This window comes from Homo sapiens, chromosome 2, assembly GCF_000001405.40.
Source record: "Homo sapiens chromosome 2, GRCh38.p14 Primary Assembly".
Classification (NCBI taxonomy): Eukaryota; Metazoa; Chordata; class Mammalia; order Primates; family Hominidae; genus Homo; species Homo sapiens.
In genome coordinates this window covers 171,144,169-171,168,624 of record NC_000002.12, presented here as the reverse complement: position 1 = coordinate 171,168,624, position 24,456 = coordinate 171,144,169, and the positions used below count along the sequence as shown (strand labels likewise).

At 40.1% G+C, this 24,456-nt stretch overlaps 1 protein-coding gene and 1 pseudogene across 5 annotated transcripts in view, besides 5 other annotated features; one reads left to right on the top strand and one right to left on the bottom strand.

The window, feature by feature from the left end:
• TLK1 (tousled like kinase 1) overlaps window positions 1-24,456 on the top strand; it is a 240,471-nt gene that overhangs the window by 62,669 nt on the left and 153,346 nt on the right. For 4 of the 5 annotated variants that reach the window (XM_017005422.3, XM_011512238.4, NM_012290.5 and 1 more), the window contains exon 1: window positions 7,732-8,335. The exons of the other annotated variant lie outside the window; for it this stretch is intronic. Coding sequence is in view for 3 of the 4 variants with exons in the window: in XM_011512238.4 (XP_011510540.1) it covers window positions 8,197-8,335 (139 nt within the window). In the remaining variant the exon portion in view is untranslated. Of the gene's footprint in view, window positions 1-7,731; window positions 8,336-24,456 lie in introns of those variants that run through there. 5 annotated transcript variants of the gene reach the window in all.
• Window positions 7,142-7,201: a silencer, noted in NCBI's record as "silent region_12099". NCBI's record gives its function as "represses an Ori minimal core promoter by ATAC-STARR-seq in GM12878 lymphoblastoid cells {active_cell/tissue: GM12878}" and the evidence as "EXISTENCE:reporter gene assay evidence [ECO:0000049][PMID:35858748]".
• Window positions 7,332-8,051: a silencer, noted in NCBI's record as "silent region_12098". NCBI's record gives its function as "represses an Ori minimal core promoter by ATAC-STARR-seq in GM12878 lymphoblastoid cells {active_cell/tissue: GM12878}" and the evidence as "EXISTENCE:reporter gene assay evidence [ECO:0000049][PMID:35858748]".
• Window positions 7,332-8,561: a biological region, named in NCBI's record as "H3K27ac hESC enhancer GRCh37_chr2:172016575-172017219".
• Window positions 7,916-8,560: an enhancer, noted in NCBI's record as "H3K27ac hESC enhancer chr2:172016575-172017219 (GRCh37/hg19 assembly coordinates)". NCBI's record gives its function as "activates a minimal SCP1, AML or CMV promoter by ChIP-STARR-seq in naive H9 embryonic stem cells {active_cell/tissue: H9 hESC(naive)}" and the evidence as "EXISTENCE:reporter gene assay evidence [ECO:0000049][PMID:30033119]".
• Window positions 8,322-8,561: a silencer, noted in NCBI's record as "silent region_12097". NCBI's record gives its function as "represses an Ori minimal core promoter by ATAC-STARR-seq in GM12878 lymphoblastoid cells {active_cell/tissue: GM12878}" and the evidence as "EXISTENCE:reporter gene assay evidence [ECO:0000049][PMID:35858748]".
• On the bottom strand, window positions 22,198-22,295 carry LOC124906168 (uncharacterized; annotated as a pseudogene).

The following is a 24,456-nucleotide window of genomic DNA, read 5'->3' as shown; positions in this document are numbered from 1 at the left end:
CCTATCTTCCAAACTATGAATTCTTTTTATGATTCAGTGATTCATGGTTCATTGAATTATGACAAATCCATGGGAGAATGTTCCTAATTTGCCCCCAAAGTCCTGGGATTACAGGCATGAGCCACAGCGCCCTGAATACACACTTCTAATCAGCACCTGGATCATGAAACAAAAAAATCACTTGCAGCTCAGAATCCCCGCTCTTACTTCATGGTGGCATTTTGACTGTTTATTTTTTTATTTTTTTATTTTTTTTGGAAGAGGAGGAAGAAATTCTCATCAATATTTTACATTCCCATATTGTTTCAAAGTTTCTAAATTCATATGAGGTTATATATGTCTCCTTTGCCATGTATCGAATTAAGAAAGATTTGGCATTTAGTTTTTATTTTCTGGGAATGCATTAAGTAATTCTGAAAATCTTTAAACTATGGAGTGGGAAAGATATTGTCGAAGATCAAAGATATTTGATATTTTTTACGAAAAGAAACTTCCATTTCTTTTGCCTACAAAAAAATTTATGCTGCAGAAACAATGTCCAGGGTAAGATTTTGGGCATTTTTGTTTTTCCCTCTTAATGTGATAAATTTATATTTTGGTTTAATCAGTAAAATTTAGGATAAGTAAAGTGTAACACTAGATTATAATTATAAATTATAATTTATATATTTTTAAATTACTTTTCAAAGTTGCCTGCTTTGTTAAGAGGTACACTATTGATTCAAAATTTGTAATATGAGCACTGTTTGCTTGTTGTACTTTGTTTTTGTAAACATTTCATAATACCATGTCCTTGGAGGATAGCTTCTAGTGCACTTTGGGGGAGGGGATATTATTGTTCTGAAGTTGGTTACAATTATTTAACCTCAGGTGAAATAAATCTAGTAATTCCAGTTTTTGTTTGAGAATCTAGTAATTCCAGTTTTTGTTGTGTATGGACCAAGGGTTTTCTTTTTTTCAAATGGATTGACAAATCTGAGAGAAAACATTTCCATCACTGGAGGGAGCAGAGGAAGTGTAATCTAGCCTATTATATACAAAAGCTTGGAACTATCTCTTCAGGATTTGGAAACCAAAACTTTCAAGCAGTGGTTTTGTGAATTGTGCAATGAAGATAGAACCAACTTAATGAAATGAGAATTCTTCATAATCTAATGTAATGGAGCCATTTGTCTAAGCAACTAATCAAAAAAACTATTGAGGGGGCGTGTTGAGATTGCAGGGTAGGCATCTTAAGAGCTCTGATCTATATTCATACCTTTGGACAAAGAAGGAAACAAAAATTTGGAGGTGAGTCCAGGCAGAGGAGGCCTTGTTGACATTTCAATTCACTCTGATAAGAAGGAAGAAGGCCCAATACTCCTCATTTCAACATTTGTAATGTAATAATTCATACATGTAAGAGTAGATCTAATATATACATGTAGTTTAAAGAGAAAGAATAAGACAAACATACCTCCGTACTCCCACCCAGCTTAACAAGTGGTGCTTTTAGCAGTGTTTTTGAAGTCCCTCTGAGTTCCCATGATCACATGTGCCCTTTTCCTTGAAGGAGGTAACCACTCTGATCTTGGCTTCTCATTTCCATTTTTTTCCTTGTAGTTTAATGTATTCCTGAACAATATATGATTTAGTTTTGAATGATTTTGAATATTTGAGAAGGAATCAAACTGACTTTGTTCTTCTGTAACTTGCTCTTTTTAATGAGCATTATATTTGTGAGCATTTTAATTGTTGTGTAGTATCCCACTGTACAAATATACATATCTCTAATTTATCCATTCTCTTGTTGACGGACATTTGGGTAATTTCCAGGTTTTGACTACTACAAACAGTAGTGCCGCGGACATTCTTGTTCTTATCTCCTGGTGCATAGCAGCAAGAATTCCTCTAGGATACATTCTTTGGAACGGAACTGCCAGGTCAGAGAATCTTCGTCTTTCACAGATACTACCTTACGAAATATCTTTTTGCTTACTTCAAAAGGGCTTGGGTTGCCAGATTTAGCAAATTAAAATGCAGGATGCTCAGATAATTTGAATTTCAAATCAATAAAAAACATTTTAGGATAAATATGGCCTACACAATATTCATAGTTTAATCTGAAAACCCTAACAAGGTCAGTGAACTTTATCAAACCACAAACATTGGGCAATGAAGGATGAGTGTGAAGGGGTGGTGGGGCATTTGGCCTATTCTTCCCCTGCTAGATGGCCAGCCCAGATGTTTATGAGCAGGTTAGCTCAGGGGACTCCAGTGCTTATTAACCAGCTGTGTAGGTAGTTGGTTGGCTCCACAACTGTATGCCAGGCAGGTGCTAGATGTTGGGTATTAACACAACTGTAACCATTACAGAGAAGGGTCCTTGCTCTCCCTAGGCTTTCAGCCAAGAGGGGGAAATAGAGAACAGAGAACAGTACAGCAATGACAAATGTACGATGGGAGCAGTGGTGTGCTGGTGAATGCTTAATAATTGGCTCTGATGGGGAGAAGCAGCTCTAACTTGTAGCTTTTGCTGACCTAGGAGTTATAACTACTCTCACCATGGCTGACTTCAAGCTACAATTGTAACATGTAACATTACTGAATGTGGAGTTGGGAAGCCATGTACATAATCTTCTCCCAGGACATTATGAACAGGCTCCAGTATCCCACTGTATGGGAGTACTCAGAAAGTATACCTCATCCAGTCTCCGGACTCATTTCTTTTTTTTGAGATGGGGTCTCCCTCTGTTGCCCAGGCTGGAGTGCAGTGGTGCAATCTCGGCTCACTGCAACCTCCGCCTCCTGGGTTCAAGCAATTCTCCTGCCTCAGCCTCCTGAGTAGCTGGGATTACAGGTGTGCGCCACCATGCCTGGCTAATTTTTGTATTTTTAGTAGAGATGGGGCTTCACCATGTTGGTCAGGCTGGTCTCGAACTCCTGACCTTGTGATCCACCCGCCTCGGCCTCCCAAAATGCTGGGATTACAGGCGTGAGCCACAGCCCCCAGCCTCTGGGCTAATTTCTTGTTGGTTTGGGGGAAAGGGGCTTAGGTGGCTCAGACATTAATTTTTTCCCTTGAATTTAGAAGTTAAGAGTATAAAATGCATTTTAGTATGTCTATAATATTGGATGCTTTGTAAATATTTTTACTATGGTATAGAAATAGAAAATAGTCTATTAAACATAGTTATAAATTATGATCATCCTATAGATCGGGGCTCAGACCTTCACCTTTTGCATCTGACCTTCCATCAGGAGACCCTTGAAGACTTCTCCTGCATTGCCCTATCACCTGAAACCCAGCTCATTGATCGTCATCATTCATTAATTCCACAACATTGACAGAGCCCTTGGTCTGTACTAGAGGCTTAAGGCCCTGTCCTCATGGAGCACTCAGAACGTTCTCTCTAGTCTCTTCCTGATTCTTTCTAGGCAGGTTTACTACCTTTTACTTGCTCAGTTCATTTCTGTGTTCTCAAGCTGGCTTTCCCTCTGGGAATATTCCTCCATGGAAGATTGCCAGAAAGCTTCCAATGATCTCTTCTTGCTCTTGAGATTTCTTCTTCCCTACAGAGTGGCACGTGTCTCTTTCTGTCTGAATCTGAACTCTTCTGACTTTTCTATATTTTTTCCTATTGTGTAATCTATCACTCTAGCCATCTAATCTTTTTCTTTTTTTTAGATAGAGGTGGGGTCTCACTCTGTTGCCCAGGCTAGTCTAGAACTCCTAGGCTCAAGTGATCCTCCTGCCTTAACCTCCCAAAGTGCTGGGATTACAGGCGTGAGGCACCGTGCCCAGTCTTGATCTATTTTTTTATCGGACATTTTTTGAATGCCCATATACTAGCAAATTTCAAGGTGTGGAGGAGCTTCTCCTTGCCATTTAAAAGTTTTCATTTATTTGACATAATCATTTTATAAAATTATGTATTTGCACAACTTATGTCCAGAGGCCTTCTTTATGCTTCAATTACTTCAATTACTTAAAACGTATTTATTGAACTTTTTCTGAATATAAAAAGAAATACATGATTTGTTTTACAAAATTTGGAAAAGCATACATAAAGAAATAATAACTATGTGATCTCACAGCCCAAGGCTAGTTATTATTAACTTTTTGGGGCACATCCTTCCAGTTTTTTTTCTTTTTAAGAGATGGGGTCTCATCATGTCGCCCAGGCTAGTCTTGAACTCTTGTGTTCAAGTGATCCTCCCACCTTGGCCTCCTGAGTACTTCCAGTGTTTTTGATGCATACTTAGGAATAAATCCAGATCATATCCATTTTTTCACTTACTATAGTGTGAAAATGTTATCTTCTCTGGTATTCTTTGAAGACATGATTTTAAATAATGGCATGACATTCCATTTTCAGGCTAAGCTGCAGTTTGTTTAAATAACTCCCCATTGCCAGTAAAAGCCTTTTTTTTAAAGGTTGGTGAGTGCTGTCTTATCAAAAACCACATGAAGACAGGAATCAAACATTTAATTGTCCTTCTAAGGAAGTATCCACAACAAAAATATAACTAAAGTAAGTTGATCATGTATATGCTGTAATCCTCTAGTTATCATTAAAAATAAACATAGCCAATCTGCATTAAATATAACATGAGTTAGGGTGGACGTGGTGGCTCATGCCTGTAACCCTAGCACTTTAAGAGGCCAAGGCAGGTGTACTGCCTGAGCTCAGGAGTTTGAGACCACCCTGGGCAACATGGTGAAACCCCATCTCTACTAAAATACAAAAAATTAGCCGGGCATTGTGATAGGCATCTGCAGTCCCAGCTACTCAGGAGGCTGAGGCATGAGACTTCCTTGAATCTGGGAAGCAGAGGTTGCAGTGAGCCAAGATTGCACCACTGCACTCCAGCCTGGGTGACAATTAAAAAAAAAAAAAGTACTATGAATTGGCATAAGGATAACTTAAAAACTTGAAGCTCTGGAGAAGGTTGGGAGAAAGATAACCTACCATCATCAAACCTTTTTGGTTGGGCTTTGTTTACCATTTTTGAGAGGAACTGAGCTCTGTACAGTCTCAGAATTGGTAGGAGCTTTAAAAATCACTCAGTGACTCTAACCTCTTTCTCGTAGATGAGGAAATTGAATCAAGTTACCTGCTGAGACTAATACTCAGGTCTCTTAACTTCCTTCCTGTCCCATGTTCTTTTCACCGCAATCTGCTGACTAAGCTTACTCTTAAAAATACAGAAAGAGCATACATTTATCAACATGTCATTACAGAAACTCTGTTCCTCTTATAGTGCATGTATTTAGGTATAAAAATCGAATGGCAAGATCCTGGGTATGTATCCAAGGGAAAGGAAAGCCTATGTCCACAGAAAGACTTGTACATGAATGTTCTTAGCAGCATTATTCGTAACAGCCAAAAAGTGAAAACAATGCAAATGTCCATCAATAGTTTAATGGATAAACAAGTGTGGTACACTCATTCAGTGTAATACTACTTAAAAATAAAAACAAACTATTGATAATGCAACAATGTGGACGAATCTCTCAAAAAAATAATGTCGAGTGAAAGAAGCCAGACAAGGCCTGGCACGGTGGCTCAGGCCTGTAATCCCAGCACTTTGGGAGGCCAAGGTGGGCGGATCACCTGAGGTCAGGAGATTGAGACCAGCCTGGCCAACATGGTGAAACCCCATCTCTACTAAAAATACAAAGTTAGCTGGATGTAGTGGCACGTGCCTGTAATTCCAGCTACTCAGGAGGTTGAGGCAGGAGAATCATTTGAACCCGGGAGGCGGAGGCTGCAGTGAGCCGAGATGGCACTCCAGCCTGGGCAAAACAGAGTAAGACTCTGTCTCAAAAACAAAAAACAAAAAACAAAACCAAAGCCAGACAAGAGTACAAATTGACTGTATGGCCTGCATTTATCTAAAATTCTATGAAATGGAAAGCTACCCATATGACAGAAAGATCTGTGGTTGGAGAGAATGGAAGTAGTGTGGAGGAGGAACCACAAAGAGGAAACTTTGGAGGGTGATAGATACATTCACCATCTTCCTTGTAGAAGTGGTTTCAGGGAGGTATACACATCAAAACTTATCAAATTGTACACTTTATTTTTATTTTTTTGAGACAGAGTCTAGGAGTCTCGCTCTGTCGCCCAGGCTGGAGTGCAACGTTGCGATCTAGGCTTACCGCAACTTCTGCCTCCCGGGTTCAAGCGATTCTCCTGCCTCAGCCTCCCGAGTAGCTGGGACTTCAGGCGCGTGCCGCTACACCCGGCTAATTTTTGTATTTTAAGTAGAGATGGGGTTTCACCATGTTGGCCAGGCTGGTCTCAAACTCCTGACCTCGTGATCCGCCCACCTCGGCCTCCCAAAGTGCTGGGGTTACAGGCGTGAGCCACCGCACCTGGCCAATAATTGTACACTTTAAATATGTGCAGTTTATTTTGTCAATTATACCTCAATAAAGTTGTTTGTGAGATGTCCCTCTTAAGTTTGAAAAGCAGACAAGACTAAAAACTCACTGAAGTATCTAAAGCACAAGGCAACTACAATTACTTCTGGAGATAACTGACAATCAAGGTTCTTTTCTAGTATGATAGTTTATCTGAACAAAACATTACTATGAGAAATGCGAAGTCATAAAAATAAAAAATAGAAACGACATTTTTGTCCCCCTGGTAATCATGCCATTTCCTCTTGTCTGTGCAGTAGCGCTATATCATAATCTTTTTAGTGCTCTATTCAATTTGGTTTTCTAAAGAGAGAAATAACCTTGTTGTACTTTTCCTGAACTAGAGTGCTCTTTTATGTACAAGAAGCCCAATCCCTGGTGTGAGTATACTTGTGTGGGTCTGTAGAAAGCTACACTCTATCTATAAATTTTAGCAAATGCTGTTATTTATTTTGGGATTTTTGTAGTCGGGACTCAGCGGAGACACTAGAAACAAATTATAAGTTTCTAGAAACCATACCTTCTGCAAGATGAACGCTGTATAGTTTTCCTAAATATGTGATTCAGTAATCACATTTTTCATTTAGATTTTCCACTTACTGTTTTAAAACAAAGAATTGCTATACCATACAGTCTACAAAACTGGTAATTTTCAATTTCCTCATTAAAGATTCTTCACTCTTTTTTAGAAAACACGAGAAAGTTTTATTTCCCAACTCTCCCACTACCCATGTTTATTTTCATAGCTCTTTTATTCGGTCATTATTCCCATTCTGCAGACGGGGAGGCGCACATACGTTTTTCTGCACAGTACAGAGGGGCAAGAAAGAAGGAACTCTCAACTTTTCAGTTCCATTTTGAGAAACGATCACATTGAACTCCCGAGAAGCGGCAGCTGAGCGAGAGCAGCAGCATTTCTCCCCGTGTTGGGTGTGGGTCAGGAGAGAGGCGCGCTTCCGCGGGAGACAGGGGGAGTCAGGTGGCAGCGGCGCTGGAGCCCGAGCGGCGCGGCGGGGGCGCGCCTCCCTCCGGCCGGCGCGGGGACGCTGCCCCCGCGCACGCGAGTCCGGCAACCCCGGGCTCCCGCGCCGCGCGGCGATCCGCGGGTGCGGCAGGGGCGCCCCGGCGCTCTAGTCTCTTCCCTCGCGCGCTCGCTCCTTCCCCATGCCCCCACCCCCCAGCCCCTGGCAGGTCCCTCCCCCAAGCCTGCTCCCGCGGCCGCCGCTGCCGCCGCCGCCGCCGCCGCCGCTACCGGAGGCGCAGGAGCCTCGCGATAGTGTTTGCACAGGCGGCGCGTGACGCCGCCGCCGCCTGTAACTGATGCAGAGGTTACCCCACCGCCTCAGCCGCCACCCACAGCCCGCCGCCGCCGCCTCCCGGGCGACGCCGGGGGCCGACGCACTGCAGAGGTGCCGGCAGGTTCCGCCCGCGGAAGTGTCCTCGGCCGGCGCAGCCCGCGCTCCGCCCGCGCTCCGACCCCGGCCCGGCTGGCACCCCCTCGACGCCTCCGCCGCCGCGCTCCTTTCCTCCTCCTCTCCTCTGGCGCGCCCGCTCGCTCCCTCGCTTCTCCCCCTTTCCCTCCTCCCTGTCCCCTCTCCTTCCCTCACCTCTTTCCTCCCCACCTCCCCTCTTCTCGGTTTCCTCCCCCATCCCCTTGACTCTCCCCTCCCAGCCCTCGCTCTCTCGCTCGCCCTCAGCGCGGCCCCCGCCATGACGGAGGCGGGTGCCGGTGCCGTTGCCGCCGCTGCCGTCGCAGGGGGGGAGTCGGGTTCCCAGAAAGTAGCTTGATGAGTGTCCAAAGTAGCAGTGGAAGTTTGGAGGGGCCGCCATCTTGGTCCCAGCTCTCCACGTCTCCAACCCCGGGCTCGGCGGCGGCGGCCAGGTCCCTGCTGAATCACACGCCGCCATCCGGGAGGCCCAGGGAAGGTAAGCACCGCCGCGCCCGCGCCCGCTCGCGGGCCTCCTCTCCCGCGCCGCGGACCCCCGCGCCCCCCCCCCGCCCCCCCCGCCCCGGGGCTTCTCCGCCAGACCCTGGGGTGGGGGATGGTGGCGAGGTGGACGCGAGGCCGCCCGGCTCCCCGGCTCTGGGGAGGTAGTGCCCTGGCTGTGGATGGTGGTTCGCGGGTGGCGGAGGAGACGGACGAGGGGGTGCGCGCTGGTGGGGACGGGGCGAGGCGCATAGACTCGCCTGGGGTTCCTGGGAGCCAGTCCTGCGAGGGTGGGAAGCCTCCCCCCAGACGCGAGCCCCTTTCTGCTCCATTTGCCAGTACACTCAGTACTCTTAACCTCCTGGCCTCCGGTCTCTGGTGGGTTTTCCCTCCCGCTGGAGCCTTCGTCCTCGAGCCCCCTCCCCTTCTCCCGCGCACTCCTCCCATAGAGGCGGTCCCCACTTTGCGAGCTTTGCTGCCCGGGACCTGGAGGATGCCCCTCGCTTGCTGGGTTTCTCCTTTGGGGAGAGACGCTGAAATTATCTGGGCAGACTTTGATCCCCTGTGTGGCCCCCTAGAGCAATTTAAACGACAGACTGACTCGTGGGCAGGCTTTTAAAACCGCCCCTCCAGATGGTTGCAACTTTCTCTCCTTCGCCGTTGCTTCCTGCGTGTTTGTGCGTTATATTCTCTGCTGCAAGTAGGCTACTGTTCTTCTGTGACAGGGTCGTGGGTTTTGTGGGAAATATCTGCGTAAAGGTTATTGCAAACACGCACCAAATCGGTTACAATTGTTTTCTAAGTTTTCTGGCTTCTTGCAAGCAAGTGGGCTGCCACCAGATGTAGCAGTTACACAGCTTGTAAGGCACCGGCGTGCTTTTGACTAAAATTTCAACTTGCTGTATCTAAGTATACAACATAAAATGAAATTTGGGAGAAAACACATTTATGGGGAATGAATAAATGTGCATGGAATGTCTTTTAACGCTCTTTAGTCTGGAAAAAGCTTAGCGGTATTCATCCGCAATTGGTAGACGGGCTGTTCACTCCTAGTTGTCGCACACGAGGAGATAGGCACATTTTCAAATGTCTGGAAGTTCAACCGTCTAGTGAATGTTTTAAAGAAATCAAGAGCTTCGATTTATGTAGGAATCGGTGCGAGTACTTTATTTTGAAAATATCTGTCGATATTTGCTAGTCAGAGCCTTGACAAGTGTTAATCAAGTGTTTTGTGCCCTGAATCCAGTGGTTCAGGCATAGCATTCTTTGTCATTTTGTTCCTGTGAGCATGTGTGAAAGTGACAATAGGCTTAAAGATTGGCATGAATATGCTCTAGAAAATTCACGGAAAGCTTTGATTTATGGGATCCATTAAACATGCGGAATACATTGACAGACGTTTCCCCCTTTCATCTTATCCCAACGCTGAGCTTTCATTGTTAGAATATAGAAGTTTATTTATTAAATGACTAGAAATTTAGTATATCTGGTGATTCTTTTGCACTTGAAAATTTTTAAATGAACGGTTTAAAATGTATTTCATAGAGAAGTTGATGCTTGCTTTTAGCATGCTTTTACTTTTGTTTGTAGTTTCATTAAGATGTTTAATGTTAGTGTTATGAGTTTAAAAAGACCATTTTATTGTTTCTTGTTTAAGGCTATATCATCATTCATTCATTCATTCATTCATTCGTTTCTCGAATATTTATTGAGCCATTACTGTGAGCCAGGCCGTGAACTGGATACTGAGGACATAGTGTTGAATTATCTCTTGATATCTGTTATCAGTATTGGGAATTTGGGAGACAAAACATCTAGATTGTGAGTTTCTGAGGTTACTTCAACTTAAAAACATTCTGCACTTTTCCTGATGTTTGAAAATTTGGAGGGGTTGGAATCATTTAGCTTGAACTTCCAAATAACCATAATTTTTTCCGGCAGTTTAGATTACAGTGGGTTTTTATGTAACCTAAAGTAGTGAGTTTCTGTTAATTCATGAAATCATAGGACAGGCTTTTGTGAAAGTTACACTTCACACCGAGTACCTGTATAGCTACAGGGGGATATTTCTTTTTGACCAACCAGCATGCAAGTTGAAACTATTAATCCTCTCTAGGGTTATATTCATTTTGAAGCTTGGCGATGTGTTCTCAGATTTCACTAACGCTAACAGGAATATGAAGCCCTGAGTGTCAAAATGGAGATGATTTCTATTGAGCGAAATCTCAGTTTTTATTTTAAGTGTTTAGCACCTTTTCCAGGTATACATGTTAGTACATTATATAAATTGATGAAGTTTTAGAAAGCTTTTTAACTGCTAGTTACTGCTAGTAAGAACCGTTAATATTAATGGAACTTGAATGTATTGTATGTATCACGGTGAAAACTAACTTTGTTTCTTGAAAAATTGAGTCAGTTTAACATATAGTAATAGAATAATTGAAACTTAAAAGAGATACACATGTATGTGAACTTACATAAATATTCTATGTGATGAACTCCTTTTAGGCAGACTTAACTTTGAAAATGGGTTATTTTTAAAAATATGCCATAAGCATCTGTAAAAGTTACTTATTTTGAAGTTTTGACATTTGAAACCACAAACCTAAGATTATGATCTGATTATTTTTGATGCTGTATGTTGTAGTTTTGTTTCTTTTTACCTTATTACCATTATCATATTCACATAGTTTTATCACAAATAAAATACAGCTCTATAAGATTTGGGAATCTATTAGAATTTAGGAAATTATGTGATAAATATAGTATAGATTTCTTTCCCTCGGGTCCCAAAGCTTTTCGCTTGTCAGTCTTGTGGTTCTGTTAGAGGAGTTCAGCGATGTAGCTCTAGATTTTCTGTTGAATCTTTTAAACCTATAATCTCCATCCCATTTTGTCTTCTATAATCCTGTGATTAAGGGAGTGACGAGTTAAAAAGGTTTTCAAGTAAAGGCCAGTTTTGCTTTGTTGAAGTCTAGGAACCTAGTGTCATATTGGCTAGATAAGTAGTTGGGTTTTTTTGCATATCAGTACATGGGTACTTTTGAATGGGTTATTGCTGAGAATCAGATGATTGATTATATAGAACACTTGCATTTTCTTTCCTGCTCCAACCTGCCAATTATAAATAATTTGCTTTACTTTTTTGTAAATAGTGAAAGCTTGGTCAAAAAGATTGTATGGGCCAGGAGTGGTGGCTCAAGCCTGTAATCCCAGCACTTTGGGAGGCCTAGGCAGGTGGATTGCTTGAGCTCAGGAGTTCAAGACCAGCCTGGACAACATGGTGAAACCCTGTCTCTACAAAAAATAGAAAAATTAGCTGGGCATGGTTCAGGAGGCTGAGTTGGGAGGATTGCTTGAGCCTGGGAGGTGGAGGCTGCGGTAAGCCTAGATAGCGTCATTGCATTCCAGCCTGGGTGACAGAGTGAGATACTTTCTCAAAAAAAAGATGGCATGATAGTTCGATTAAACTGTAAACTTCCTCTGTTTCCATATTTAAAGACTGCATTCCTTAGAAGAATTAAAGTAATTGACTTCAGATGATTTAGTAATGAGATGTTAAAAACGAAGGTGTACCAGATGGCCCTGTAGGCCTTTAATTTTTTGAAATCACTAGCTGGAGGAGGACAGGGTTATGTGTTTAAGGATTCTAGCTCATGAATAGATATGTGACAGATGTCTCCTTTACAATGGCACATTTACATATTAGAGGAGAGAGATAAAAGAGAGAAACCAGAACGGAGGTTTGAAAATCTTATGAGAAATAGACTATGCTTTAGCCTTTTGGCCTCAGGGCCTCTTTACTCTCTTAACAATTATTGAGGACCCCAAGAGATTTAGGTTTATGTAGATTATATCTACTAATATTTGCTCTTTTAGAAATTAAATGACAATTTCAAATATATTTATTAATTTAAACTGTGTTGTAAATAGAATTTTTTATGAAGAATAAATATGTCCTAAAACCAAAGAAACTAGACCAGTGGCATTGTTTTATATTTTTGCAAATCACCTTGATTTCTGGCTTACTTGGAGAAGACAGCTGGATTTTTTGTCTGCCTTCAGTCTGTTATGATGTTTTGGTTGAGATATGTGAAGAGAATCCAGCTTCATGTAGATATATGGTTGGAAAAGGAAAGAGTGAGTATTCTTCTTTGGTATTACATCAAAATTCAACAAGTGGCAGTTTTTTGTTTTTTGTTTTTTAAGTTACTGACAATGTGAAAGCATATTGTATTCCAAAAATGTCTCTAGGACCTACAGGAAGTCTATGGAAGATACATTTAAAGAAGAGACTAACGGTTGGGAGACGTGATAGCTGTCTCCAGGTATTTAAGAAACTTGGATTTCAGTAAATAGGATTTAAAAACCTGTTAATTTTAATAAATAGGAGGGAGAATAGATCCATTCTCCTGCTTTAGAAGGCAGACCAACGGGTGAAAATTAGGAAGACATTGAGGTCAGTCTAATTTTTTACCAGAATGTAAGAACTGTATGACAACTAGACTTGGAACAGTGGAACAGTGGAGCAACAATGGAACTCGCAACAGCTAACAACAATGGAAAGAAGTAGTTAGTTTTGAGAATTTAAAGTGGACTACAGGGACATATTTTTTGGGGAGGTGGAGATAAATTCTGTAGATTCTTACGATGAGTGCTATTGGATTAGTGACTTAAGGCTTCATCCAATTTAAAAATGTAAACATTCTGTGATTTTTTAAAAATCCCTAAATATAGTTAAACTATACTTATATATATTCATTAACGTTTTTGAATGTTCTTGCAAGTCAGTAGTATGAAACTACTGTTGTTGTTGACTTTATTACTATTTTGCATTTTTATTGTGCTTTTCCTCTGAGGATTTTTCTGTCTTTTCTTGTGTCAGCAAGATCAGTCTTCATGAAATCTTGCTAAATTCCCTGTGAAATATAATAAGCTTAAGACATTTTAGAGAACCAAATGCTGTTTATGATACAGTTTAGTAGAGTTGTAATATATTTCAGCACAGAATTTTAGAATACTATGGGGGCTGATTTTCAATTTTGTAAGAGAAATTATGAGCATAGTTTATATAGTCTTTTATTTGTAATTGTTTACGTGATTTCAGAAGTAATATGCTTAAGTTATTCTAATGTTTTTAAAGCTAGAGAGTCTGAAAAGAGGGAAGAAGAAAGAAAAGTGTTTAAATTGATCTCTTTTGAATTTAAAATGCATATTAAGTATAACTAGAACATAAAATGAAGAATTTAAATTCTCATCTTATTCCTAGAATTATACCTATAATATGTATCATTACTTATAACAATTCATATTTTAATTTTGCATGGCACATAATCTCTTCTGTGAGTTGGATTTTTAGGTGGTGGGAATTTAAGCATAAATTCTCATAACTTTCTTGGGGTCAATTTAATATTAATAAGTGTAGTAAGTAATAATACCCAGCTTGAGACCTCATGTACTTGTTGCATTTGGATTTAAAGCTCATTTCCTATAGAAGAGCTGTAGAAATCAGTCATGTAGTTTCATAAACTCCTTCATGCTTGTTAATAATTTTCAAGAATCTTAAAATAAATTACAGGAATATTGTTATGAAGTAGTAGAAGCAGTATGGTATAGGGGAGAAAGTGATTGTAGTTGGGATCTGAGGATAGTCTTTACTTTGCTATTAACTAGCTGTGTGACCTTGGGCAAGTTGCTTATCTCTGCTTCAGTTCCATAAACTAAGAATTACAGAGCTGAACCGGATCTTGGAAGCAATCTAGTACAAACCTCTCATTTTACAGATGAGGAAGCAGATAATTTGCACAGGCTTTCACTGTAAGACAGTTGGGCCCAAAATTCAGTTTTCTGACTCTCAGGTTGGTTTTTTTTTTCCATTATACTTTACAGCCTCTTTTCATCTGTAAAATGAGAGCATTGGATTAGAGGCTCTCAAAGGTCTCTTCCAGCTCAAAAATATTGTCATTCCTGTGACATTAGTCGTAATATAATTTATTAGGGGAAAGTTTGTAGCTTTTATTTATTGGTGAAAGAAATGTTTCTTGAAGAGGCAGTATAACCTTTGCAAGGTTATATTTTGTTTTTTTAAGAGAATATCATCAGGCGAGGTGCTATGTCTCAGGCCTGTAATCCCAGCTTTGGGAGACCAAGGCAAGAGGATTGCTTGAGTCCAGGAGTTTGAGACTAGCCTGATCCTGTCTCAAAAAAAAAAAAAAGTTAGCTGGGTATGGTGGCATATGTCGGTAGTCCTAGCTACTGGGGAGGCTGAGGTGGGAGGATCCCACCTTGATCCCAGCAGTTCAAGACTGCAGTTGATGCAGTGAGCTATGATCATGCCACTGCACTCCAGCCTGGGCAACACAGTGACACCCTGTCTCAAAAAAGAAAAAAGAAAACATCTTCATTAATACCAAAGGGTATTTAAGTTTATGAGCATGGTAAGTAGTGTGATAGGTAGTCTTGTTTTTTGTAAAACACTTATTAATATATTAATAATATAAATTGCGTAAATAACAGTGTGATACCCGGAAGTGAAGTAAGTAGGTGATTGTTCCTCAGAAAATATTGCTGGAGTTTATTTTATCTGGGACCCCTGTGTCTGCCCCTAGTTAAGTGCCTGTGTTGTTTAGTGTCTCACAGGATTGTCTGTTTCCATAGCATCTGCATCATGCTACTTTTATTATAGTTTTATTTATATTGTCTACTAGACAGAAAGGTCTTGAATTCAGAGACTATATTTTGTTCATTTTCGTATTTTCAGTGCACAGGAGGACATCCTCTACAGAGTTGGCACTCAACTAAAAGTTTTGTCAAAGGACTGTTTCACATACATCATCTCTCTATATATCATGGTATGCACATATTTCAGACCCAGGAAGATGCTTATTTTAGTAATTCTTAAGTGAACTATATTTTAGAGGGTGATATGGATAACAGTAACAGTAATAGCTAAAGTTTATTGTGTTCGCACATGTTAATTCTTATATCTCATAACTCTGAGTTACATACAGTTGTTATTCCCATCTTCAGATGAGAAAACTGAAGCACAGAGAAGTAAAGTGACTTACCAGTGTGACCTAGAGTAGTACATGATGGGGATTTGAACCAAGTTGGTGTATTTTAATCACTAGGATATATTGCCTAAAATATGAAAATTTGGTTTTTAGTATTTTAGTAGTTTTTCCTAAGCAGATTTTAACTTACTAATCAGACTTCCAGGCTTATTCATTTTACTTCTAAACTTTTGTTAACTTTTTTTTGCATGAGTTTTTATACACGTGTGAAGATAAGATTTAAAAAAATACAAAAACCCCAACCAAACAACCCAATTTAGAAAGCTGTACCAGCTGTGCAAATCCTACACTTCATTTTTTTAAGATAAGTTTTGTCCATTCATGGAAAATGTTAGAGATACATCAATGAAAAATTTTATTTCCATGTTAGATAATCTAATTTGTAATTCCATTTATCTTGATATTTTGGCCTCATAAACCCACTGGAGCCATAACAAGTAAATACTAGAATTTGAACAAAAAACTTCCCACTGTCAGTATCGGAGCAGTCTATTTATTGTGGAGGCTTTATAACCTGATGGACAAGGCTTTAAACTAAATTATAATGCTTTAGTGGCAGATCTTTGACTCTGTTAATAGTATTCAGTATGGGCAAGGGGAAGAGGATGTGCAGTCTAGCTAATCTGTAAAAAAGTATTTTAAAAAAATACTTAGTTTTAATTCTTTTATTGCTAACAACAACAACAACAACAACAATAACAAAACCTTTGGTAGCATGTATTATATAGCAAACCTAATTGAGAGGCAGGATTTGAATGGATTGATAGGAATTTATCAGTCATGGAGTGGAAAGATATGCAGAGCAGAGCAGATCCAGGTGGTAGGTTGTCAAACTTGAATTAAATTTTTCCAATGTGGCTTCATCATTAGGTCTGAAATTTAATGAATTTCAAGAAGGCAATTTAACCTGTATTTAAATAAAAGTGATTATATTCTACATAGATTCATTAGCCAAATATAAGTATTTTGGGGGGATGACTTAAAATATTTTTTCCTCTTCATCTATGTGGATTGTTAAGAATTGGTTATACTCATAAATTTGTGCTTTTCCTTGAAAACTAATTAGCTGGAGTAAATAAACTACTAGGTTTAAATTCTTGCTGTTAATATGATAAGTTGTGTGACTTCATGATTCCCCACTGGACACTTAGGTAAGTGCTTCCTATCTGAGGATGAATGTAGTTCCTCTGGTGAAGGTCAGAGGGGTTTGTGTGAGGCTAATCATACTCATCCTGTCTCCTAAGACCAGAGACATGTTTTACTTTTTTCCTTTTTTGATACTGTATATTTGCCTCATAAAAAATATAAAATTTCCCTTTTCCTTGCCGATTTCTTTTAAACATCTGTGTAAATATGTAGTTTAGTTCAACTTTGTATACTACTCTGTTACTTATTTCATTTACTTAAAGATACTTATTTCATTTACTTAAAGATACACATGGCTGGGCGCGGTGGCTCACGCCTGTAATCCCAGCACTTTGGGAGGCTGAGGCGGGCGGATCACGAGGTCAGGAGATCGAGACCATCCTGGCTAACACGGTGAAACCCTGTCTCTACTAAAAATACAAAAAAATTAGCTGGGCGTGGTGGTGGGCGCCTGTAGTCCCAGCTACTCGGGAGGCTGAGGCGGGAGAATGGTGTGAACCTGGGAGGCAGAGCTTGCAGTGAGCTGAGATGGCGCCACTGCACTCCAGCCTGGGCGACAGAGCAAGACTCCGTCTCAAAAAAAAAAAAAAAAAAAAAAGATACACATATTTATTAATGCTGGACACTATTCCCGGCATTTGTAAATAGTAATTCATTTGCTTCTCCTAACAATCACATGAAGTCCTGTTATTATCCCGACTTTATAGATGAGGAAATTGAGGCATAGAGAAGTTAAGTAATGTATCCAAGGGCCAGGCACAGTGGCTCATGCCTGTAATCCCGGCATTTAGGGAGGCTGAGGTGGGCAGATGGCTTGAGCGCAGGAGTTCGAGACCAGCCTGGACAACATGGTGAAACCCTGTCTCTACAAAAATATACAAAAATTAGCCGGGCATTGTGGTGCACGCCTGTAGTTGCAGCTAGTTGGGAGGCTGAGGTGGATCGCCTGAGCCCAGGAGGTTGAGGCTGCAGTGAGCCGTGATTACGCCACTACACTCCAGCCAGGGCAACAGAGTGAGGCCTTGTCTAAAAAAAAAAAAGGAATGTACCCAGGCACACATAGAGAATATTTAGCAGAGCCAGGATTCAGACTGGGCTGAGTACATGCTCTTAACAGTTACACTATTCTGTCAATGTTATTTCCTTGAATGGATGCACTATAATTGGTTAACTACTCTTCTTTAGGTAGGATGTTAGTCATGAATCCTTTGGTTACACGTAATAACAACACGACTTTGTTAAGTTAAAAAATGAGTGTATTGGTTCACATACTGGGTATTGTATGTGGAGGGTGATGGAATGGCTTTGGAAACAGCTAGATCCAAGGTTGCAAGTAATGTCATTGGGTTTCTTTGTCTCCTTTCTGGGTTTTTCTAGCCTCTTGCTTCTGGAGCCCCAGACATATACCTTTAGCTTAGCAACCACACTTGAAAGACAGCTTCTCTTTCCTGATGTCCACATGTCAGTTGTGTTGTTGGTAATCAATTCTGATTGTCAGTTCCTTAACCAATCATTGGAACCTGGGAGATGAGCTACAGCAAGGGTAGCCACTGTGGTGGCTGTGGTTAGGGTGAGTTGGGGAACCCACAGAAAGCCAGGATTGACAGTCCCCTTGAGATGACATGAATTGGATGAGGTGTAGTTTTCCTGAGGAAGGGATGATAATGAGCAAAAAACAACTATAGCGAATCATTTAGGTTATGTCTTTTTAATTTTAACTTTATAACTGTCATAGATAATGATACAGTAACTGAGTAAAAGCCTCCTTTTTTTTAAATACTAGATTTTCAGTCATGGAATTACGAGAGCAGAGTATAAAACAATTTTAGGGCTTTCGGTAAATGTTGCCAGATTATTTTTTTGAAGGATACGTGTACTTAGCTCATATACCAACAGCAGGCATGAGGTGAGCATGTACTTTTGAACCAGGTAGGGTTCAACTCATCTTAGAAATACTGTACTGGGCTTAAATATTAACACATGCCTTGCACTTAATCACAGGGTTGCAGACTTGACACTGAGCAAATATCTAATGCAGTTTATCAAATGTTTCATTATATTTTATCTGGCTATTTTTTATTTTCATTTAAAAATTTTTATTATACAGTCTTTCGTTCGTTCGTTTGTTCTTTCTTTCTTTCTTTTTCTTTTTCCTTTTTCTTGAGACAAGGTCTCACTTTGTCACCCAGGCTGGAGCACAGTGACATGATCACGGCTCACTGCAGCCTCCAACTCCTGGGCTCAAGCATACTTCTTCATCTCAGCCTCCCAAGTAGCTGGGACTACAGGTGCACGCCACCATATCCTGCTGATTTTTTAACTTTTTGTGGAGACATGGTCTCCCTATGTTGCCCAGGCTGGTCTTGAACCCCTGGGCTCAACCAGTCCTCCTGCCTCTGCCTCCCAAAGTGTTGGGATTACAGGCTTGAGCCATTGTGCCCAGTCTATTGTATAGTTTTAAAAAACAAAACCAAAAGGCTAATAAATGGCACCCCTTTGCAAGCTCTTCCCCCTCCTTTCTTTTTCTTCCCAGTGTCTCCTACTTCTCTGACCTAGTTGACAGCATTATACTTTTGGATGTTGGTAGCATGTATAAAGTACATTATTACATAACAAGTTAATATAACATAATAGTTTCAAGGGTTTTGCCACTTAATTATACTAAGTTACTTAACCTCTCAATGCCTTATCTGTAGATTTTGTTTTTGATAGGGTGGGATAGTAATAGTAACTACAAGGTTTCACAAGGTTGTGAAATTGAATGAGAAATACATGGCACTTTAACAAGTCACTATGGATTATTTAATTTCTTTTCTTCTTCTTCTGCTGCTGCTTCTCCCTGCCCGCCCCTACCCTTTTTTTTAGAGACAGGGTCTTGCTCTGTTGTCCAGGCTAGAGAGAAATACAATTTATTTACTCCCAGTAAGGAAAATCTTAGAAATGTTAAAAAAAAAAAAAAAAAAAAAAAAGAAAAGTAATTCAAAGGATGAAAAATGACTATTTGCATAATATTTACCACAGTATTATATAGTGACAAGAAATGAGACCAACAACTAGATTAAGTTTTGGTATACATATCAACAAAATCAACTAAAGCAACGTGATATATATATATATCGCACATACACACACACGCACACGCACACACACACACACATATATATATATATATATATATTTTTTTTTTTTAAGACAGAGTCTCACCCTCTTACCCAGGCTGGAGTGTAGTGGCACGATCTCGGCTCACTGCATCCTCTGCCTCCAGGGTTCAAATGATTCTCACATCTCAGCCTCCTGAGTAGCTGGGACTACTATGCATCACCACGCCCAGCTAATTTTTGTATTTTTGGTAGAGAGGGGGTGTCACCATGTTGGCCAGGCTGGTCTCGAACGCCTGACCTCAGGTGATCTGCCCTTCTGGGCCTCCTAAAGTGCTGGGATTCCAGGTGTGAGCCACTGTGCCCAGCCTTGTATACATTCACTTAAAAAATAAGTAGGAAAACTGTGCAATATGGAAACATGTACAAATGACGGAACATTGCCTAAAAGTTACTTTGCAATGACTCCATAATATTAGCTTGTTTTTTGTCTCGCCTTTCTCTCAAAAGAAAAAATACACCACCAAGAGCAACAATGACAAACAGCATGCCCAAAGTCACGCAGATGAGAAGTGATTGAAAAAAGGATGTCAACCCAAGTCCACACTTCTAATCCCTATACCACACTGCCTATGTTCCCACTAATAGTAATACACACATTATTAGGCACCTAGTGCACATAAAGCACTCTTTCTCCTTGGTACTAATAAGAACACACAAAAAAACACAATATAGGCCCCTTTCAAAATTTGCAATATAGTGCTTTACAGTATGCAGCTGCTGCTGGGTGTGGTGGCTCATGCCTGTAATAGCAGCACTTGGGGAGGCCGAGGTGGGCGGATCATGAGGTCAGGAGATCAAGACCATCCAGGCTAACACGGTGAAACCCCATCTCAAGTAAAAATACAAAAAATTAGCCGGGCGTGGTGGCACACGCCTGAAATCCCAGCTACTCGGGAGGCTGAGGCAGGAGAATCGCTTGAACCTGGGAGGCGGATGTTGCAGTGAGCCGAGATTGCACCATTGCACTCCAGCCTGGGAGACAGAGTGAGACTCTGTCTCAAAAAAAAAAAAGGAATGACTGCATACCAATACAAAGTATAAACACTGCTAATCCAAATCTAGTGCTTGATGCTTAAATGGTATAACTGCGTCTCATACATGTGATCAATTCTAAAGCCACAGAAAATTACAGGCACTAAGATGATGAAAGCAGCAATTTAGGATATCATTTGAAATCTACATCTGTGAGCTACAGTTCTTCAACAGGCTGGAGAAACAGACCATCTAAGTCAAGCATGCTGTGGCTATAAGGAACATTTATTCAGATAGTATTTGGTCCCTATTCTTTGCCACATAAACAGAGAGGAAAACATTTAAATTCTAAAGTATCATTATATCCACACATAATAGTGATAGTTAAAACATAAGCCAGGTGCAGTGGAGCATGCCTGTAGTCCCAGCTACTTGGGAGGCTGAGGCAGGAGGATCATTTGAGCCCAGAAGTTGAAAGGCTGTACTGTGCTATGATCACAACTGTGAATTACTTTTTGTTTTTTACATTTCAAAGATTTGGCTTACTGGGCAAAGGGGGCGAGTATTTTTATGTCGTTTAATCTCTGTTGTCACTGTTGTTTTCTTAGTGGAATAACTGGGATTTTAGTCTATTGTTCTCTGAGATGAATCAGTTGTCAGAGCTATAGAGTTTTATAGAAAACTTATTGGCATAGTTTGTTCATTCAGCAAGTATTTTTGGACCTGAAGCCTAGTAATGAGGAAACAAAGATAAATATGATGAAGTTAGTCCTTGCTTTCTAGGAGCTTGGTCACAGTCTAGTGAGGAAGGATAATTTCTAACATTTAATTTATACTTTTGAAGAACACCTTGTGGGTTAGATAAAACAACCCGAATTGCCAGTTTTCAGCTTCTGAGATAAGCTATATCAAGGTGTTATATTCATTGGTCATTTGGTTGCTAGAAATTAACTTAAGCAAAACAGATTTATTAGTAGTAGAAGGTTATAGAGCTGGGTATCCCTTAGACCCCAGTTAGGCCTTAAGGAGGCCTACTGAGGTAGAAACCGGAAATTCAGGAATCACAGTAGCATTGTTCTCTTGTGGATCATTGAGCAACTGTTTCCAGTGCTGTGAAATAAAGTTTTCTAAAAAGGAGAAGTGGGAAGGAAGGAAATTGTATTTCTGCCACAGAGGTTGTGAACAAAGTACTCCCTACAGAAGGGAGTTACACAGTTTTCCTCCAGTTTAACTGCTGTTAAAATGGTATCTTGTTTCAGTTGATATGTCTTGATTGGTAGTGAGATTGAACTTAATATTTTTATCAAGAGCCCAAAGCCAATTTTTCTTGACGTCTGTATCTTAGACATGAGAATATATGGTAGTGATGTTAATTCTTGTTACATTTGATGAAACTATTTCCACCGTCATATTTTTTCTTTTATATATTTGAATATTTTCCATTGTATAAAGTTTTATGCTTTTATTGAATTCAATACCAGTTGTTCTTTATATTTTATTTATTTTCTTATCAGATGGGTCATATGCTGATGTCATAACAAGGTTTGAGAGAGGCACCTCTTGTGTGTGAGCACCCAGTCATCACACTTAAGAACTACAAAAGAATCACATTCTTACAGAGTCTCACTCTGTTGTCCCGGCTGGAGTATAGTGGCGCAATCATAGCTCACTGCAGCCTGGAACTCCTGGGCTCAAGTGATCTTCCCACCTCTGCCTCCTAAATAGCTAGGACTTCAGGCACACTTCAGTATGACTGGCTCTTTATGATACTTTAATGAGTATAAGTCTTTAAAAGTTACTGCTTTCTGAAGTTCAAGTACTCTAATTTTAGTGTGATTCAACTGATTTTATTTCTAAATTTTATATATTTTATCTTTCATATTGAAGCATAACACATACTGAAAAGGCACACAAAGTAGTGCTCAGTAAGTTATTATAAACTCTGACCTGTGTAACGACCACTGAGACAAGAAATAGAATATTGCCAGCACTTCAAACACTCTCCTTCCCCATCAGTCACTACCTTCTCCATGCTCCCCAAAGTAACCATTATTCTGATTTAGTTATGCCTGTTTTTGAGTTTGATATAAATGGATCCACGCATTATATATTTTGTATCTAGATATTTTTGCCCCACATATTATTTGTAAGATTCATCCACATTATTTTCTGAAACTGTAATTTTAATTGCACTATAATATTACTTTGTGTGAATGTACTACATTTTATACTTTGTTGATTGACATTTGGATTGTTTCCACTTGACAAAATATTAATAATGGTATTATGAACATGTTTATACCTGTCTCTTCATACATTATATTTGTTTTTTGTTTTTTTTTTTTTGAGACAGAGTCTCACCCTGTTGCCCAGTCTGGAGTGCTATGGCACAATCTCGGCTCACTGCAGCCTCCGCTTCCCGGGTTCAAATGATTCTCCTGCCTCAGCCTCCCGAGTAGCCGGGATTACAGGTGCCCGCCACCATGCCCAGCTAATTTTTGTATTTTTAGTAGAGACAGGGTTTCACCATGTTGACCAGGCTGGCCTCGAACTCCTGACCTCGTGATCCACCCGCCTTGGCCTCCCAAAGTGCTGGGATTACAGGTGTGAACCACTGTGCCCGGCCTTTTTTTGTTTGTTTGTAGTCTGTGTCTTGCTCTGTCGCAGTGGTGCGATCTCGGCTCACTGCAACCTCTGCCTCTTGGATTCAAACGATTCTCCTGCCTCAGCCTTTCCAGTAGCTAGGACTACATGCGTGCATCTCCACGCCTGGCTAATTTTTGTGTTTTTGTTAGAGACGGGTTTCACCATGTTGGCCAGGCTGGTCTCGAACTCCTGGCCTCAAGTGATCTGCCCATCTTGGCTTCCTAAAGTGCTGGGATTATAGGTGTGAGCCACCGTGCCTGGCTGTAAGATGGTATCTGTGTGGTTTTAATTTTTCATTTCCCTGATGACTAAGGATGTTTACCACTTTTTCATAAAGTTTATTGGCCTTTTCGTTATCCTTTGTGAAGTGCTTGTTCAAATCTTTTGTTCATTTGTCTGTTGTGTTTGTCTTTTAAAAACCATACTTGAAGGCATTCTTTTTGTATTTTGGATGAGAAGTCTTATTTTTTATTAAAACTTTTTCCCCCTATTCTGTGGCCTGCTTTTGTCTTCTCTTTATGGTATTTAAGAAGCCTTTTCTTATCTCAAGTTCATAAAAATGTTTTCCCATATTTTCTGTTTTTAATATAGGCATTATAGCTGTAAATTTCCCTCTAAGCACTGATTTAGTTCATTCCATAAGTTTTGATATGTTGCCTTTTTGTTTTTATTCATCTCAAGTATTTTCTAATTTTTCTTTTTATTTCATTTGACCCATTATTTATTTAGGAATATGTTAATTTCTGCATATTTGTGAATTTCTCGATTTTTTTTCTGTTACTGAGTTCTAATTTAATTCTATTGTGATCAGAGAACGTACTTTGTATCCTTTTTATCCTTTTCAGTTTGTTGATGCTGGTTTTATGGTCTAGCATAGATCATCTATCCTGGAGAATGTTCCATGTGTGCTTTTTTAGAAAAATGTGTATTGTGTTGTTGGGCAGAACGTTCTCTAGCTGTCTTTTCCATCTAGTTGATTATAGTGTTTGTTTTCTGTTTCCTTATTGATCTTCTGCCTAGTTCTATTCATTATTGAAAGTGGGCCATTTAATTCTTCCAACTATTGTTCTTGGCTTGTCTATTTCTCCCTTTAATTCTGTCAGTTTTGCTTCATGTAATTT